This window comes from Homo sapiens, chromosome 12, assembly GCF_000001405.40.
Source record: "Homo sapiens chromosome 12, GRCh38.p14 Primary Assembly".
Lineage (NCBI taxonomy): Eukaryota > Metazoa > Chordata > Mammalia > Primates > Hominidae > Homo > Homo sapiens.
The window spans coordinates 101,639,908-101,658,170 of NC_000012.12; the positions used below are offsets into that span (position 1 = coordinate 101,639,908).

At 36.7% G+C, this 18,263-nt stretch overlaps 1 protein-coding gene and 1 long non-coding RNA gene across 32 annotated transcripts in view; one reads left to right on the forward strand and one right to left on the reverse strand.

Annotated features, from left to right (window-relative positions):
• Positions 1–18,263, forward strand: part of MYBPC1 (myosin binding protein C1) — a 100,871-nt gene that overhangs the window by 44,937 nt on the left and 37,671 nt on the right. For all 31 annotated transcript variants that reach the window (XM_017019316.2, XM_006719406.5, XM_006719410.5 and 28 more), the window contains 8 exons: positions 2,512–2,678; positions 4,757–4,889; positions 6,856–6,980; positions 8,138–8,243; positions 9,353–9,519; positions 11,324–11,486; positions 12,771–12,877; positions 13,208–13,341. In XM_017019316.2, coding sequence (XP_016874805.1) covers positions 2,512–2,678; positions 4,757–4,889; positions 6,856–6,980; positions 8,138–8,243; positions 9,353–9,519; positions 11,324–11,486; positions 12,771–12,877; positions 13,208–13,341 — 1,102 coding nt within the window. The remainder of the gene's footprint in view (positions 1–2,511; positions 2,679–4,756; positions 4,890–6,855; positions 6,981–8,137; positions 8,244–9,352; positions 9,520–11,323; positions 11,487–12,770; positions 12,878–13,207; positions 13,342–18,263) is intronic.
• LOC105369937 (uncharacterized) lies at positions 6,813–10,964 on the reverse strand. Its single transcript, NR_188371.1, has 2 exons — positions 10,909–10,964; positions 6,813–7,121 (listed from the first exon to the last, which is right to left on the reverse strand). It is a non-coding gene; the product is annotated as an uncharacterized LOC105369937 (long non-coding RNA).

Here is an 18,263-nt window from a genome sequence, read left to right on the forward strand (position 1 = left end):
TCTGGGGACTATATTTAGGCTGGAATGTGACAAAAATAGAGCACTAATAATCTAGATTGAGGGAACACCCCGCAGAAAATATATACATATGAACATACATATACATCTTTTTTGGGTTTTTCTTTGAGACAGGGCCTCACTTTGTCACCCAGGCTGGAGTACAATGGCGCAATCTTGGCTCATTGCAGCCTCGACCTCCTGGGCTCAAGCAATCCTTCCACTTCAGCCCAAGTAGCTGGGATGACAGGCATGCGCCACCATGCCCAGCTAATTTTTGTATTTTTTGTAGAGACGGGGTTTCACCATGTTGCCCAGGCTGGTCTCGAACTCCTGAGCCCAAGTAATCTTCCCACCTCAGCCTCCTAAAGTGCTGGGATTACAAGACTGAGCCACTTCACCCGGCCTATACATATACATCATAATTGTGACTCTCCTAGACTTCCTACTAAAATATTTAAAGGATGTATTTGAAGTGTTTACTGTTTCCAGGAAGTAGATTTAGTGGATCTGGCAAATTATTACCAATATTCCAATTTCAGGACAATTTTCTTAAGCTTTTCGATTTTCTCATGTTAATAAAGGATGTAGCTGTTATTTCAGTGAGATGAAGATAATGCTTGTGTCTTGAGTTTTTAAGAGGCACATTTTGCTAATGGTGTTGTCTAGTCCTTCCCATCAAGATTATTGGAGAGACCAGTGACCTTTCACTTCCTTCTATTTTCCAGGAGTTCTGCCTCAATGTCCCCCAAACCCACTGGGCAAAAAGACTTACATGGCAATGTAAAATGGAAGTTAGATATTCAGATGTCATCCTTGCCTAATGCCACCCTAAACTCTATATTAATATCTATAATCTCCTCCCCTCCCCTGCATATTTTATCCATGATTACAACCCAGTATTTCCTTCTCAAAGTACACATGAGTGTAAAGATGACACTCCAGGCTGGTGTGGTGGCCAGCACTTTGGGATGCCGAGGTGGACGGATCACTTGAGGTCAGGAGTTCAAGACCAGCCTGGCCAACATGGTGAAATCCCATCTCTACTAAAAATACAAAAATTAGCTGGGTGTGGCACACACCTGTAATCCCAGCTACTTGGGAGACTGAGGCAGGAGAATCGTTAGAACCCAAGAGGCAGAGATTGCAGTGAGCTGAGATCACACCACTTCACTCCAACCTGGGCAACAGAGTGAGACTCTGTCTCAAAGAAAAAAAAAAAAAAAAAAAGAAGGCACTCTGAAACAGGTGTAATGAATATGACAATGCAAACAGATGTAACCCATCATTCCCTAACATGATAGCATGAATTCATTTTCACACTGATATATAAGATGTTTGACCAGTTTTCCAGAAAATCATATCCAAATCAGCATTACGGTAAGCAGTCGTTGTAACATTTCTAAATTAACCTGATAAAAATAGTCATGTAAATGTAAACAAAATCAGGATTATTTATTCAATGAAGGAAACCAATTTGTTTATACTAAGCCTGTTTTCCAAAAGAGTGTTTATTTCTGAATTTTATTTTTATTTTATGCTTTTAAAAGAAAGGAAGACAAGTGTAAATCTTAAATCTTACTTAAATCTTAAATCTTATTTTTAACACATATATGTTCTTTATGTGTTCTGTAGTCAATGATCAAAAGTTGGGGTCATAATTTTGGTATGCACCCTAAGAAGTTACTTTCCCTTGTTCATGGTGCCCTAAACCATTTGCTTCACAGTTTAACATTTGTATTTTTATAACTCATACCCAATTTGCTTCCAAAAAACATTCAAGACAGTACTTTAAGATGAAATGTAAGAAAATTTTTAAAACCTAGTCTCCTTTCCCCCTGCCGATTTAGAAAAAAAATTTTAAAACCATCAGTATCCATAAAAACCATGTGAAAAACAAACAAAAAACTCATGGCAGTTTCAATTTTTTTTTTTTATTTTAAGAAAGGTAAAAAATGGTTCATGTACTTAGTTACTAATATGGTAGGGAAAATGCTATTTGCAAAATCCAAATGTTTGAAATAATGTATTTGTACTGTCTCCATATTTAGCTAGGGTGTGTACATCAAAGAAAATAGAGATCATTTTTATTTCATAGGCCAAATCTAAACCTTTTAGTTCTAGTCCAATTTTCAATAATTCAATATCCATATCCTAGATGAAAACTGTTAAGTTTCTCAAAATCCCATCTTCTAATTAGACTTTAAATTTGAAAATAAGTAAAATATATTTTTAGGCTATTTCCTGATGTCCTCTACTCCCCCTAAAATTGTTTTTATTAACTAGGAAAACGAAAGGTGTTACTATAAGGGCACACATTTGATCTTCTACTACCTGCAAGTTTCCCTAAGACTTCCATTCCAGCAAGCAAGACTTGACTTCTGGGCTTCAAGTACTCAGGCTTTAAACAGAGCTTTTTTACACTGAACTGAAAAAGCAGAATTATACCTCGACCTTCGTGGTCTCTAAGGGTCAGTGCAGCTACTAAACTAGACCATGGTTCTCCCCGGTTAGGGAGGTGAAGCAGCAGGAGGAAGAACCCCAGGTGGACGTATGGGAGTTGCTGAAGAACGCGAAACCCAGTGAGTACGAGAAGATCGCCTTCCAGTATGGAATCACCGACCTGCGCGGCATGCTCAAGCGACTCAAGCGCATGCGCAGAGAGGAGAAGAAGAGCGCAGGTGAGCGCTCCCGGGGGCGAGGCAGCGGCCGAGGGGCGTGGCAGCGTTCGAAAGCCTTGACCGTGAACCCCATCCCGAGCTCCTTCCAGTCTCCCGCGGGGTTGGGAGTGGGGCTGGGTAGGAGTGCAGGGGTTACGCTTGTCTAGACGGACAGCTCCTGAAGGTTCAAGGTAACAGGAGATTCATGGTCCACATACAACGTAGAATGGAATAGTACATTACCCCCGCGGTTACTGGGAATTTCTCAGCCGCCCCCTTTCTCCAGCCTCCACATCCCCACTCACTGTCAAATTATTGATTTTTACTTAAGCAGAGTGGACTCTTTCACCATCCTTTTCTTTCACCCACTTGATGGCGTGTGGAGAGTTCACTTTCTCACACCCAATATGGTTAGCAAAATGTTTTGTAAAACCAATAAGCAGCTCCGTGGGGGTCTGAAATGGGTCCAGTTTATTGTGGTCTGAAATACCTTTTTAAAGTGGAAAGAAAAAAAGGAGAGAAAGGAATACATTTTACGCTGACCATTAGCTCTTCGAAGCTTCCTATACTCGGTCATTATTGGTTATGGGTTTTATGACACATCAGGTTAGTAATATATCAATCCTATTATTGTTTATTATTTTGTTAATGTTCCAATAGAATTTAAAGATTTTTACCACCCTTTAAAAAAAATCTGACCTTTATTTCTGAACTTCCTGGAAACTGGTTGAGAAATGGCCCCAGAGAAATGTAGTAGGGTTTTTTTTAGTTTATGTAGTTCAGCCATTCCCACTATCCCAGAACTCCTGAAGTTATATTTTTGAGAGGTGTATTAATACTACAGGGGAGAGCCAGCTGACATCTCTTTTCCCCAAGCTGAACTTTGTTATTGTTATCACTTAGCTCTGAATTCATCTCCTAAGGTGTGTGGTAGATGGCTTTTTTAAAAGCTAGGGTTTATTTTATCTTGTTAAAATATGAGACAGTGAGCTTACCTAAACAATAGTATAATAAGGTTGGAATGATGGAAATACAAGCATGACAACATGAAGCATTTCACATTTGTATTTTCCAAACTGCTAAATGAGAATTATTATCTTTTAAAAAGCAGGAAAAAAACTTATTAAATTAAAAAAAGAAGTTAACTATCTTTATTTAGGACCCTTCAAAGACAACTTTTTTTTTAATTGCTGTGTTCTATGTTATTTAAAATATTTGGAAATCCTGAATTCCTAAACGTATGTGCAAGGGGTGTTTTTAAAATGCCACTGTTTGGGCAAGTTACCACAGTATAAAAACTTTAGTAAGCCTACTGTTTCAATTAGTCAAAGGCATTCGATTTAATATGAATCACTGAATTTATCTTATAAATTCTGTGGTTAAAAAACCATCTGTGACTTAGAAGGAGTGCAGAAATAAGGCCAATGACACTAACAGTAATTCTGCTGGAAGAATAAGCATGTTCTTTTATTTTTATTTTTATTTTTTGAAACAGGGTCCCATTCTGTCACCCAGGCTGGAGTGTGCAGTGGCATGATCTCAGCTCACTGCAACCTCTGCCTCCCAGGTTCAAGTGACTCTCATGCCTCAGCCTCCCGAGTAGCTGGGATTACAGGCATGCACCACCACACCCCACTAATTTTTGTATTTTTAGAAGAGACAGGGTTTCCCCATGTTGGCCAGGCCGGTTTCGATCTCCTGGCCTCAAGTGATCTGCCTGCCTCAGCCTCCCAAAGTGCTGGGATTACAGGAGTGAGCCACCGTGCCCAGCCCCAGCGTGTTTTTAAAGTTCACTTTCATCTGAACGCTTTATAGTGTACATTCCCTGAAGAATTAGGTCATTTTTAAAGCTTCTTCAATGATTCTTTTCTTACCTTTCTTCTAGAAACATGTGGATTCTCTTTTCAATTTAAACCATCTTATTGTATATAAGTCAACACAGTGTTCGAAATATAAAGGATAATTTGGAAGGTTTCTGATTTTTTTCTTGAGATTCATTTTTTCATTTGCTTTTAGGTTCTCCTACATGTATTGACTATTTAAATTCATAGCATATGTATACATATATTAACATACTTTTGCTTCTTCTATTCTATCAGCTTTTGCAAAAATTCTTGATCCTGCATATCAGGTTGACAAAGGAGGCAGAGTGAGGTTTGTTGTGGAGCTGGCAGATCCAAAGTTGGAGGTGAAATGGTATAAAAATGGTCAAGAAATTCGACCCAGTACCAAGTAAGTGGGCTTTGCAAAAATCAGTGATAGCTCTACAGTAAATTAATCAAATAGTAGTTCGACTGACTTTTCTGAGAATAAAAGGATATTTATATTTTCATAATACAAAATCATATGGAGAGAGAGTAAACATTTAAGTCACATTTTATTTATTAGGGAAACATGATAGTTCTATATAAACTAAACCTTTTTTTATGTTTAATTCTAAAAAACTATTTAAAGTGTTTTCCAATTATGGTTTTGTGTCGCTATAGGTTATATGTGATTATTTCAGAGTATTGCCAAATTTCTCCCAATTTTAAAAAATAAAATTGAAAAATAACTTGCAATCCATATTTGATATGCCACCTGGGAATCCCATCTTATAATTAGATGACTTTTGCTTTTCCAAAATAACGACTATATTTCATAATGGGTGAATACCTTCTATTTTCAATTCAGGTACTGTTTTGAGCACTTGCAATATTGCATATAAAAGGAACTCTTTAATGTTGAGATAAAACAAAATGTGGGTCAAAGCCTGTGTTTTATTATTTATTGGCCTTCTCACAGATGGAGACGGACTAAAGACAGACTAATCCCTGACGTCTGATGGTATCTCCAGTCTATTATAAAACTACTTTACAGAGATCCTCCTCAGCCTGAGAGATTTTCAACTCCAATATATTTTTTTAGGTTAACAGGAGCCATGTGTACATTTATAAAAGATGTTAATCCTGGAAAGCTGTTACTTGTGGAGTACAATTAGGTGGTTTCCAATTTCTTAATGTGGTCATGCCACTAGAGTGACTTTGTGATGATAACATTAATATCTGGTGTAAAAATCTCTTGAAGATGGCCTGAATTTACCAAAAACATAATTTTAATTGGTTATCTTTATGTAGAAAATATTTTTAAATATCTTGTTCTTGAAGGCTTCAATCTGAGAAATTCCCAAAACAGTGTTTTTAGTCTATTTTAATCCCATCATGTGCTCCTCCATAATACAGATCACAGATAATTATATTTTACAATCTTCTTGGCTTCTAGTTTTTCGTTTCTAAATACTCACATTCTTTCTTAGTACATGTAACTGTATGATAGCACCAGTTCTTGAGCTCATTTAAGAGAACATCACATTCTATAGAACTGCTGCGTGTGTTTGTGGTTATATCACATTATTTCTTAAATTGTATAATCATTTATTCACCCAAGGAAATCTACTATACCACTGGGATAGGTAATGAATAGATCTTATTCATACATCAATGGATAAGATCAAGTCTCTACCCACCTATAAAGTACATGAATTGGTTAGTTAAAGAATGTACAGAGTTAAAAATCTGACACCCTCAGCCAACTCTATCTTCCAACAGTGGGTTAAAAAAATTAAATAGCAAATATGTGAGTACTGATTTTTATTTGAAATAAAAACCTTATGTAAAAGAAAATTATAATGGAAATTAAATAGTATATATAAATATGCTTATACATTAAGTATTATAAAGATAAAAATTGGTTTTTTTTTTTGGTTTGACGTTAAACTGTGTAAGATATGATACCTAAAGAGCAGATCAAAATTATATCCCTGCTGGGCACGATGGCTCACGCCTGTAATCCCAACACTTTGGGAGGCTGAGGCAGGAACGCTTGAACCGAGGAGTCTGAGACAAACCTGGGCAAGATGGTGAGACTCAGTCTTACAAAAAATAAATTAGCTGGGCCTGATGCCCCACACCTGTGGTCCCGGCCACACGGGAGGCTGAGGCAGGAGGATCACTTGAGCCCAGGAGGTCGAGGCTCCAATTAGCTATGTTTGCACCACTGCACTCCTGCCTGTGCAACAGAGCAAGACCCTGTCTCAAAAAAAAACAACAGATCCTTGACTTTCAAACACTACCAAATTATAAGCCAAATTTGCTGGCAATAAAGAAAAGAATAAAATCACATTCACAGACTCTGTTTATTTTCATCCTATTCAAAACAGATACATCTTTGAACACAAAGGATGCCAGAGAATCCTGTTTATCAATAACTGTCAGATGACAGATGATTCAGAGTATTATGTGACAGCCGGTGATGAGAAATGTTCCACTGAGCTCTTCGTAAGAGGTAAAAATGAAATCTCTTATTGTGGTCACCAGGAGCTGTTGGCTTCTTCTCCCAGGGATAATGATCAAAGTGAAAGTAACTGAGGCTCCTCTACACTGGCAGCTATTATGGATCCTAATGAGTCTTCTGGTTTGTTGAAGACTAGAACAGCAGAGGGGAGAAAGAGAACCTGTTGAGTACAAATGCCTCATGTTTTGACTCAAGCCAAGCACTATCTTGCAAAAATAATTATTCTAGTTATAGCTTTGAAACCCAACAGATTTTACTGGATAATCCTTGTTTCACACACTCAATTGATCACAAATAGGTTTCTCTTGAAACCAGCTTCATTAATAAGTGGTTGGTACCAAGCACACTGAAAATTATCATTTACTAAGACATTGTGAAAAGAGCTGGAGGGTGTGAATACAGCCATGTCTTCCTTATTTTCTTTATGAGGGCTTCTGATGACAGACAACCCTGAGATCTCTGTCATCCATCTGGAACTAGGATCAAAGATTTGAGTTTTATATATTCTCCTTCATCAGAAATGTCTAGCATTTAGTATCTTCTTTGCTAAAAGAATAATATTTGATATATGTTTTGTTTGTTCTTGAGAACAATAATTGATTTGACTTGGAGAACTGTGAAAAAATTGGGAGAATTTACCCAGGGTTGCCTGCTATTTATTTTGCCAAGAACAGACATAGAAAACAAAACAAAACAAAACAAAACTCACAGACAGCCACAGTGGCTCATGTCTATAATACCAGCACTTTGGGAGGCCAAGGCACGTGATCACTTGAGATCAGGAGTTCAAGACCAGCCTGGCCAATGTGGTAAAATCTCGTCTCTACTGCAAATGCAAAAATTAGTTGGGTGTAGTGGCATGCACCTGTAATCCCAGCTACTCAGGAGGCTGAGGCAGGAGAATTGCTTGAACCTAGGGGGTGGAGGTTACATTAAGCCAAGATCACGCCACTACACCTCAGCCTGGACAGCAGAGTGAGACTCTGTCTCAAAACAAGAACAAAAACAAAAACCTCACTTACTGTTATCACCATGTCAACCATAGATGTTGCTTTCTCACTGTTGGTTTTTCATCTGTGAAGAAATCAGGGCTCATGGGATAGGCTTTGGATATTTAATGATTCTGATTTCCCCTTTTTGTATACTAGAGCCTCCAATTATGGTGACCAAACAGCTGGAAGATACAACTGCTTATTGTGGGGAGAGAGTGGAATTAGAATGTGAGGTGTCTGAAGATGATGCCAATGTAAAATGGTAAATAGCCTTAATGAAGTCTGTCCATGTTTAATAGACAAAAAAATTGGACCTTCATAGTTGATAGAACAGGAAGTACAAATAGCTTTTAAACCTTTGAAAACAATCTCCACCTCATTTGTGTTAGTAGAGATGATAAATAAAAGTATACTAATATACTGGGGTTTTTCCACTCATGAGACTGAAAAAAGAACCAGAGATCTATGTGGGTAAGCACGTAGGGAAGTGGGTACTTAATACTAAGTGGATGACTCAAGTTTACCCAAGTCTATTTGACCCCAAAGCCTATGGATGCTCTTAACCTTTATAGCAGGCTTCCTCTCACTATGCCATATTGGCAACTTACATGAAAAAACATATTTAGTGTTTAGTAAGTTTAGTAAGACTTCTTTAGATGTCTTCTAAGTGGGCTTACTAATGATAGTTGTGTTAATTCGGTTTTAGAAAAGTTTCTATTTGATTTCTATTTGCAATGATTTTTAAGTACATATTTACATGTGTTTTTCATGTAACCCCTAGTCACTTTATTTTCATAGTACCTCAGGGGAAAAAAATTTAGACTGAGAATCACCAATTGCTTTTAGAAATAAGAGTTTATTTGTTTTGCTCAGGTGGGGAATGTTTTCTCAGGTTCCTTGTGAGTAATCTTAAAATTAAAAACTAGAAATTTTAAATCTTAAAATGAAATGTTATGTTGAAAGGTACAGTAAATTACACAGCAGGATTTGTAGTAATTGGTACAGTGTAGATTGTTCATTCTAATAGAGAATCATAGTTATCTTTAAAATGCATTAAATGATATTCTTACTAATGTGCTTCAAGAGCCTACATGGGGGTAATATCCACTCTTAGCAGTTGCACCTGATTCATCTTGAGTGCGAGCAGGTGGCTCGTGTTCTTTTAACACAATTTTGTAGACAATATTTGTTACATTATGAATCTACTGATGGATACAGAGATTGATTCGTACATTTTTTAATTCAACAAATAGTTCTTGTGTGTCTCATATCCTCCAGAAATTCTTCAGGATATTGCAATAAGCAAGATGGACAAGGTATTTTTCCTGAAGGATCTTTTACAAACCTTTTTAATATTTTATCTTAATTCAGGTTTAAGAATGGTGAAGAGATTATCCCTGGTCCAAAATCAAGATACCGAATTAGAGTTGAGGGTAAAAAACACATCTTGATCATAGAGGGAGCAACAAAGGCTGATGCTGCAGAATATTCAGTAATGACAACAGGAGGACAATCATCTGCTAAACTTAGTGTTGACTGTAAGTGAGACTTCTTTAGATGTCTTCTCAGTGGGCTTATTAATGATGGTTGTGTTAATTCGGTTTCAGAAAAGTTTCTATTTGATTTCTATTTGCGATGATTTTTAAGTATGTAAAATGGATTTCATTCCAGCTAAGTGTCTATGTCAGATCAATCAGGATATTTAAGGAAGGAACCACGACTCAATTTAATAGTAGAGCGCCAATATTAGGAAGGAAGTATAAAAATCACCTGCCAGAAGAGTTATAATTCCAAGACCGTAAAAATAGGGGATAAATACTTAGATACGATGTCATATCCTGATAATGTTAGCTAGCTATTCATCAAATAACCATTCAACACTCTGCAATTACATTTGGCATGAGAAGAAAGTAATTCAAACCAAAAGGGCTCAATTGAGAAGATTGTAAGAGCTAATTTGCTAGTAGGCTTCAGAGGCATGAGAGAATTAATGTACTTCCCTCAATGCCCTCTACTTCTAGTCAGTTAGCAATGGCAGAATCTCTCCCAATTTGCCATAAAAATTAAAACAGCAAATATCTCAAGATGATGTCACAAAAAGAGCAGAAATCTTACTTCCACATTTATTGCTTAGTCCAGTTGCAGTTCATATAATCATTGAATTATTCAGGATCAATCCCAATACATTCCTTATGCTTTATGGATCTGTGGCCATTTTAGTTTAACATCAAGAAGTCTTTCAGCCATAGACAGATCCTTATCTGATATTTGTATCCATTTAAAGCAATTATAATCCATTCTGCTATGATGTAACATGTGCATTTCTAAAAATAATTATGCTATGCAAAGTCATGCAGTAAAAACCATAGGGTTTGTAGGGGAAATGGGATTATGGGTATGACACTCAAGAATTTTGCTGGTTTATTAGTCCGTTCTCATGCTGCTAATAAAGACATACCCAAGACTGGGTAATCTATAAAGGAAAAAGCTTCAGTTGACTCACAGTTCCGCATGGCTGGGGAGACCTCAGGAAACTTACAATCATGGCAGAAGGGAAAGCAAATATGTCCTTCTTCACATGGTGGCAGCAAGGAGAAGTACCAAGCAAAATGGCAAAAGTCCCTTATAAAACTGTCAGATCTCATGAGAACTCAGTCACTATCATGAGAACAGCAGCAGGGGGGTAACCGCCCCCATGATTCAATTACCTCCCACCACGTCCCTCCCATGACATGTGAGGATTATAGGAACTACAATTCAAGATGAGATTTAGGTGAGGGCACAGCCAAACCACATCAGTCAGCGACATATTTTTTAAAATATAAGAACCCAGTAAAAAGTAGTAGCACAGTTTTACACATGCTAAATGGTTAATAAATATAATAAATATGGCACTTAATGTTGAAAAAGACCTGAGATTTGCTTACAGAATTAATGCTGGAAGTGTTGTGGCTTGTGAACTGTTGTGAAGCAGTAGAAAGAGGATTATTCAAAATCTGATGAGTAGTTGTGACCTCAGATGTAAATGGGTGTGGCTTATATCACATGGATGAACTGAGGTAGCTGATAGATGTTTGAGGTGTGAGTCTGCAGATTTTGTGCATTCCTTGCTGGGTCATTTCAGCTGGATGCAATTTTCTGCATTCACCTAGTTTTTCTAAGGAATGAAATTGTACAGAATCAAATGTGAAATTATCCTCTAATATATTAATTGCATTGGTACAGCTTCTCACTTTCAAAACAAACATTGTAGTAGAGCTCACTATACCATTGTGAAATGCCACCATCTTGGCCTGTTGGGAGTTTGGGCTTGGCATTTGTGATGGTCTATCATTTCTACAGTGAAACCTCTGAAGATTTTGACACCTCTGACTGATCAGACTGTAAATCTTGGAAAAGAAATCTGCCTGAAGTGTGAAATCTCTGAAAACATACCAGGAAAATGGACTAAAAATGGCCTACCTGTTCAGGAGAGTGACCGTCTAAAGGTGGTTCACAAGGGAAGGTAAGCGAGCCAGGTGACCCGCAAGTGAGGTTTGGTCCCATTTCTACTTTCTCCATTTTCTAAATTACATATTTGGTGAGGATATTTGAAGGGTAGCCATAGGGAGATCATCTATTCCTGATTCTTCGCTTCCAACTAGCAAGAAGGTGTGATTTCTCTGTTGTATAGCATGTCCTACTCATAATCCTGTATCTGTACCTCACACTATGGTACTTTGTCTATTCAAAATCCATTGACTCTTTTTCCATTTAAACATGAAGTTAGAGGCCAGGCACCATGGCTCATGCCTGTAATCCCAACACTTTGGGACGCCAAGGCAGACGGATCAATTGAGCTCAGGAGTTCAAGAGCTCCTGGGCTACATGGCAAAACCTCATCTCTACAAAAAACACAAAAATTAGCCAGGCGTGGTGGCATGCACCTGTAATCCCAACTACTTGGGAGGTGGGAGGATGGCTTGAACCCAGTAGGGGGAGGTTGAAGTGAGCTGAGATCACACCACTGCATTTCAGCCTGGGAAACAGAATGAGAGACCTTGTCTCTAAAATAAATAATAAACATGAAGTTAGAGGAAAAATACTGAATTCTAATTGAGGACCTGATCAAATGGATTAACCGTCTCTAACCAATAAGTGTCACAATGCCTTCCCACAAATCTTTATTTGCGTAGGGGACATAATATCCTAGAATCTGGCAAAGATCTAAGGCAAGAGTTTAACTTTGAATTCATGGGCTTTTAGGGTATCATAAATGAACTTTAGGAAGCCCCATAACTCCTGTGAAATTGTGAGAAAATTCTATGTGTACAAAAATACATACTGTTTACACAGAAAGGATTCATAGTGTCCATCAGATATTCACTAGTTTGTGACCCCAATAAAGTTAAGAGCTATTGTTCTTAGGGTTTGGGATGTAAAGCCAAAATCAAGATTATTCTTGGCATCTCTTGAATCTTAAAGTATAGCATTATTGATATGTTCTATTTTAGCCTTTTTAAAGCTATGAGATGAAAAAAAAGAATAATAGACTCTGCATATACAATAAGCAGATTCTATTTGTGGAGATAATTCCATATAGTCCAAAATAAAGATTTAATTTGAATCAATAAGTAGGATAATTAAGGCTTCTCATCCTCTCTCTCTCTCTCTCTCTTTCTCTCTCTCTCTCCCTCTCTTTCCTGCACTAAAGAAGTTAATCAGATAAAGGTCAAGTGTCTTTTCAGCTTGGGTCATATATAAACTAGATCTTTGGAGTCTTAGAAATACATTTTCCTTGTTTCCTTAGGATCCACAAGTTAGTGATAGCCAATGCCCTCACTGAAGATGAAGGTGATTATGTATTTGCACCTGATGCCTACAATGTTACTCTGCCTGCCAAAGTTCATGTTATTGGTGAGTAGATAAAATAATTCATTGCATAGTTGTGTTCTTTTTTGTTTGCTTTTGCTTACCATGGAATTATAATATATTCAAAACTAAGTGACATTTAAGGAAAAATACATCAATTGGTATTAATCACCAATCAGAAAGATTGGTGACTTATACCAACACCTTACAATAAAATGGTTTTGCAAGGTGCCAGGCACCAACTATCTTGACTCCTCTTATATTCTTTTTGATTAGATAAAATATTGGTTACTACCATCATACTAGCCAAACATTAGTGCAGATATTTACACAGAAATGACTGTCTGATAACAAAGACTATGCTTAATATTCTAGATCCTCCTAAGATCATCCTGGATGGTCTTGATGCTGACAACACAGTGACAGTGATTGCAGGAAACAAGCTTCGTCTTGAGATCCCCATCAGCGGAGAACCACCTCCTAAAGCCATGTGGAGCCGGGGAGATAAGGTTTGTTTTATGCTTGCACACACTCACATGCACACACACATATGCAGACACACTGCCTACCCCACCCCTTGCCCTCCATTATTCAGATGAAGGTAGAAAACAAATAAATGTACAGCAGTACAGTAAAGATGTAATTCCTTTGAAAAAGAAAGATGACTGATTTTCAGGCAAATCTGATCATCATTAATTTACTTCTCATATTTCTGACTATTATGTAGCAAAGCATGTTTTGATGCACAGTGAAAAAGCCTCATTTTTATTCTAATGAAATTGGGGGGATGAAAAAGAAAATGAATTATTAAATAAATAAATGAACAAAGTCACTTTGGATAGTAATAAGTACAAGAAGATAATAAAAGAGAATGATACAATAGCAAGTAACTGCATAGTCAATGGCAGCCTCTGTGAAGAACAAGGAACCCATTATGTGAAGATCAAACGGAAGACATTTCCATACGGAGGCAATTACAAGTGCAAAGGCCAAGGGGAGAGAATAAGCCTGATGTGTTGGAGGAACAGAAGGAAAGCCAGCATGGCTGGGGCAAAGTGAATGATTGGGAGAAATGCAAGTGAGGGTGAAATGGTAGAGTAGTGCCAGCTCAAGTGTGACTCCGTGGCTTTCTACAAAAATAAAAGCAAAAAAAGAAAAATTACATTTAAAAAGAAGACATGAGGCTGGGCATGGTGGCTCATGCCTGTAATCCCAGCACTTTGGGAGCTGGGGCAGGCAGAACACCTGAAGCCAGGAGTTCCAGACCAGCCTGAGCCTGCATGGAGAAACCCCATCTCTACTAAAAATACAAAAAAATTAGCCAAATATGGTGGCAGCATGCCTCTAATTCCAGCTACTCAGGAGGCTGAGGCACAAGAATTGCTGGAACCCGGGAGGCAGAGGTTGCAGTGAGCCGAGATCACGCCACTGCACTCCAGCTGGGTGACAGAGTGAGACTCTATCTCAAAACAAATTTTTTTAATGTTAAAAATAAAATTAAATAATAAAAAGCAGAATGAGACTTCTACTTTCAACCAGAATTGAATAACAGGAACCAGATTTACCTACTCACTTGAAATAACCCCCAAAATAGACAAAATATGTGAACAATGGGTTTCAAGACATTGGACATCAGATCGTGAAAGACAATGACTATGAAATATGATAAACAAATGAAATAAGCCCTATAATTGCCTCAAGCTTATTGCCATAAAAGAGTATCCAGGCAGTGGCACAAGGAAGAAAAACCTGGACAGAACCCAGTGGACTCCCTAAGTTTAGGACTCCCATTGTACAAGGAGACCAAGGCAGCTAGAGTTCATAGGATACATACTATACATACTGGAGGAGAGAGCTGCACAGAGAGTCCCCCTGGAGCTCTGCAGAGGAACACGCTCAAGTATTCAGCAAAGATCAGTGCACATTTATGAGGAAACTACCCAAGATTCAAGAAAGGAACATATGAAAGGATTAAAGAGAAGTGGACTGGCACTCACACAAGGCCAATAGTAGTGCCTGTTCCCCCTAGCTAGACATGAAAACCTCATCATTCACAGTGCATTGAGTAGAGTACTCAGGAAAGCCTTGCCTTGGTTGCAGGAATAATTAACCCTAGACTGAGCACTGTCATGGACCCACCTAATAAGTCATAAAAACAAGTCTAAAAGATTCAATCAATTTCCAAATAATTTAATTGCATTTCAAAACAAAGCTCAAGATTTATATAGGAATACAAAAATATCAAGCACCCAACATGACAAAATTAGCAATATCCTGCCATCCAGTCAAACATTATGGTAGAGAAATAAGCAGGAAAACACAGCTCAAAATGAGGAGAAAAGTCAGTTACAGCCAATTCAGATCTCACATGTAAATTAGAATAGCAGTCGAGCATATGAAAATAGTTATTTTAAGTGTATTCCATATGTTCAAAAAGTTAGGTGGAGAAATGTTAAGCTCTCCATTTAAATTAAATTTAAGAGAAATTTAATAAAATAAAATAAAAATTAAGAGAAAGTTAAGTGAAAAAAGTGAACTGAAATGGAAAATATAAAAAGATCCAAATCTAATCACCTACAGATGAAAGCAATAAAATGTCTCAGATAAAAAATATGTAGATGGAATTAATAGCTAATTAGACATTGAAGGCAAATTTGAAGACATAGCAATAGAAATGATCCAAAATGAAACACAAGAGAAAAAGTCCAAAAAAATTTAAAGAATCAGTTAGACTTCAAATTTTCATTCGGGCATGTAATCAGCTTAGAAGTTGCCACTCTATCCTAACAAGTAAAAAGCTGGACAAACGGAAAAACTAGCAACTCCTCTTACATATGTCAGAGAAGTGAGGATACAGGGCAAACTGCCAAAATGTGAGAGTGGAGTGACACATTGAAAGTGTTCAGGGTGAAAACCCACCAACCTAGAATTCTGTACCCTCTGAAATTATCTTTCAAAAGTGAAGGAGAAATAAAGACTTTCTCAGACAAACAAAACTTTAGGGAATTTGTTGCCAATGGATCTGTCTTGCAAAAAAATATTAAAAGTTGTTCTTCAGAAAAAGGAAAATAATATAGGTCAGAAACTCAGATCTACATAAAGAAAGAAAGAGTATAAAATAAAGAATAAGTGAAGGTAAAATAAACTTTTTCATTTTTTCCTATTCTCAGTTGATCTAACAAATAATACTTTGTTCAAAATGATAAAAGCAACAATGTATTCAATTAGGTATGCTTATATAGTTATATTTATGTATTTTATATATAAGTGAAATGAATGACAGCAATAATACAAAAAATGGGAGAAAGGAATTAGGGACATTTCATTATTTTAAAGTACATGCACTACTTGTGAACCACTGTAGTGTTGTTTGAAAGTGGAGTTGGGTTAATTGTAAATATATATTGTAAACTAGGGAAACCACTTTAAAAAGTTTAAAAAAGAGGAAGTAAAATTAATATGCTAATAAAGGAGAGAAAATGAAATCACATAGAATGCTTAATTAAAACCACAAAAGGCAGAAAAAAATGTAGAAGACAATAATAGGAACAAAGAAGAAGGGCAACCAATAGAAAATAATAACAAATATGACAGATATTGATCGAGCTATACCAATATTTACTTTAAATGTCAATGGTCCAAATATACAAATTAGAAGCCCAAAATTGTCAGAGTAGAGCAAAAACATGACCCAAAGATATGTTGACTATAAGAAACCCAGTTTAAATATAAAGTTGCATCCATTAAAGTATAGGGAGAGAGAGAGACATGCTGTGCTAAGACTAAACAAAAGAAAGTATGAGTAACCATATTAGCTTCAGACAATGCAGACTACAAAGCGAAGAAATTTATCTGGAATAGAAATGAGCGTTACATAATGATGAATGGGTCAATACTCCAAGAAAGCCTAATAATCCTTAACATGTATACACCTAACAACAGAGCCTCAAAATATATGAGACAAAAACTGATAGAACGGCAATGAAAAATAGATGCATTCACTATTATAGTTGGAGATTTTGACATCCCTCTATCAGAAATGGGCAGATTCAGCAGACAGAAAATCAGTAAGGACACAGCTGAACTCAACAGCACTATCAATCAATTGTATATAAATAACATCTATAGATTACTTCATCCAATAGCAGCAGATTACACATTCTTTTCAAGCACACATAGCATATTCACCAAAATAGAACACATTCTAGGCCATAAAAACACCTTAACAAATTTTTAAAAATAGAAGTCATATAATATCTGCTCTCAGGGACAATGGAATTAAACTAAAAATAAATAAATTACAGAAGTGAAACTAAAAATCAATACATAACAGAAAAATAGCTGAAAATCCCTCAAATTCCTGAAGATTAAACAACACACTTCAAAGATGAAATCTTAAAAGAAAATTTAAAATATATTGAATTAAATGAAAATACAACATATCAAAATGTTTAAGTTGCAGCAAAAGCAGTGCTTAAAGGGAAATTAATGGCAATGATTGCATATATTTAAAAATAAGAAAGACCTAAAACCAGTAATCAAAGTTTACGTGTTAGAAAACAAGAGAAAGAAGAGTAAATTAAATTCAAAGTAAGCAGATAAAAGACATGATACAAATTAGTGCAGAAATAAATGAAATTGAAAACTGGAAATTAATAGAGAAATTAACAAAAGCTGGTTCTTTGTAAATATCAATAAAACGTATAACCCTCTAGCCGGGCTAAGTAGGATAAGAAGAGTCAAGGCTAATTAACAGAAATGAAAGAGGGACATTACTACAAATCCCATGGACATTAAAAGGATAGTTAAGGAATATTATGAACAACTCTATGCCCATAAATTTCACAACCTAGTTGAAATGGACCAACTCCTTGAAAGATACAATCTTCTAAAACTCACACAAGAAGAAATAGGCAATCAGAAAAGGATTATCTCTATTAAACAAATTGAATCAATAATTAATAACCTTACAAAACAGAAAGCAACAGGCCCCAATGGGTTTGTTGGTAAATTCTACCAAACATTTAAGAAAGAAATTGTGCCTTAATCTCTTTCAGAATGCTTCCTAATTCAATCTATGAGGTCAGTTTTATCCTAATATCAAAACCAGAAAATTTCAGACCAATATCTCTCATAAATGTAGATGCAAAAATTCTAATGAAACATTAGCCACGAGGTCAGGAGATCGAGACCATCCTGGCTAATACGGTGAAACCCCGTCTCTACTAAAAATACAAAAAAAATTAGCCGGGCGTGGTGGCTGCGCCTGTAGTCCCAGCTAGTCGGGAGGCTGAGGCAGGAGAATGGCGTGAACCCGGGAGGCGGAGCTTGCAGTGAGCCGAGATCGCGCCAACACACTCCAGCCTGGGCGACAGAGCGAGACTCCGTCTCAAAAAAAAAAAAAAAAAAAGAGCAAATCAAACCCAACAAT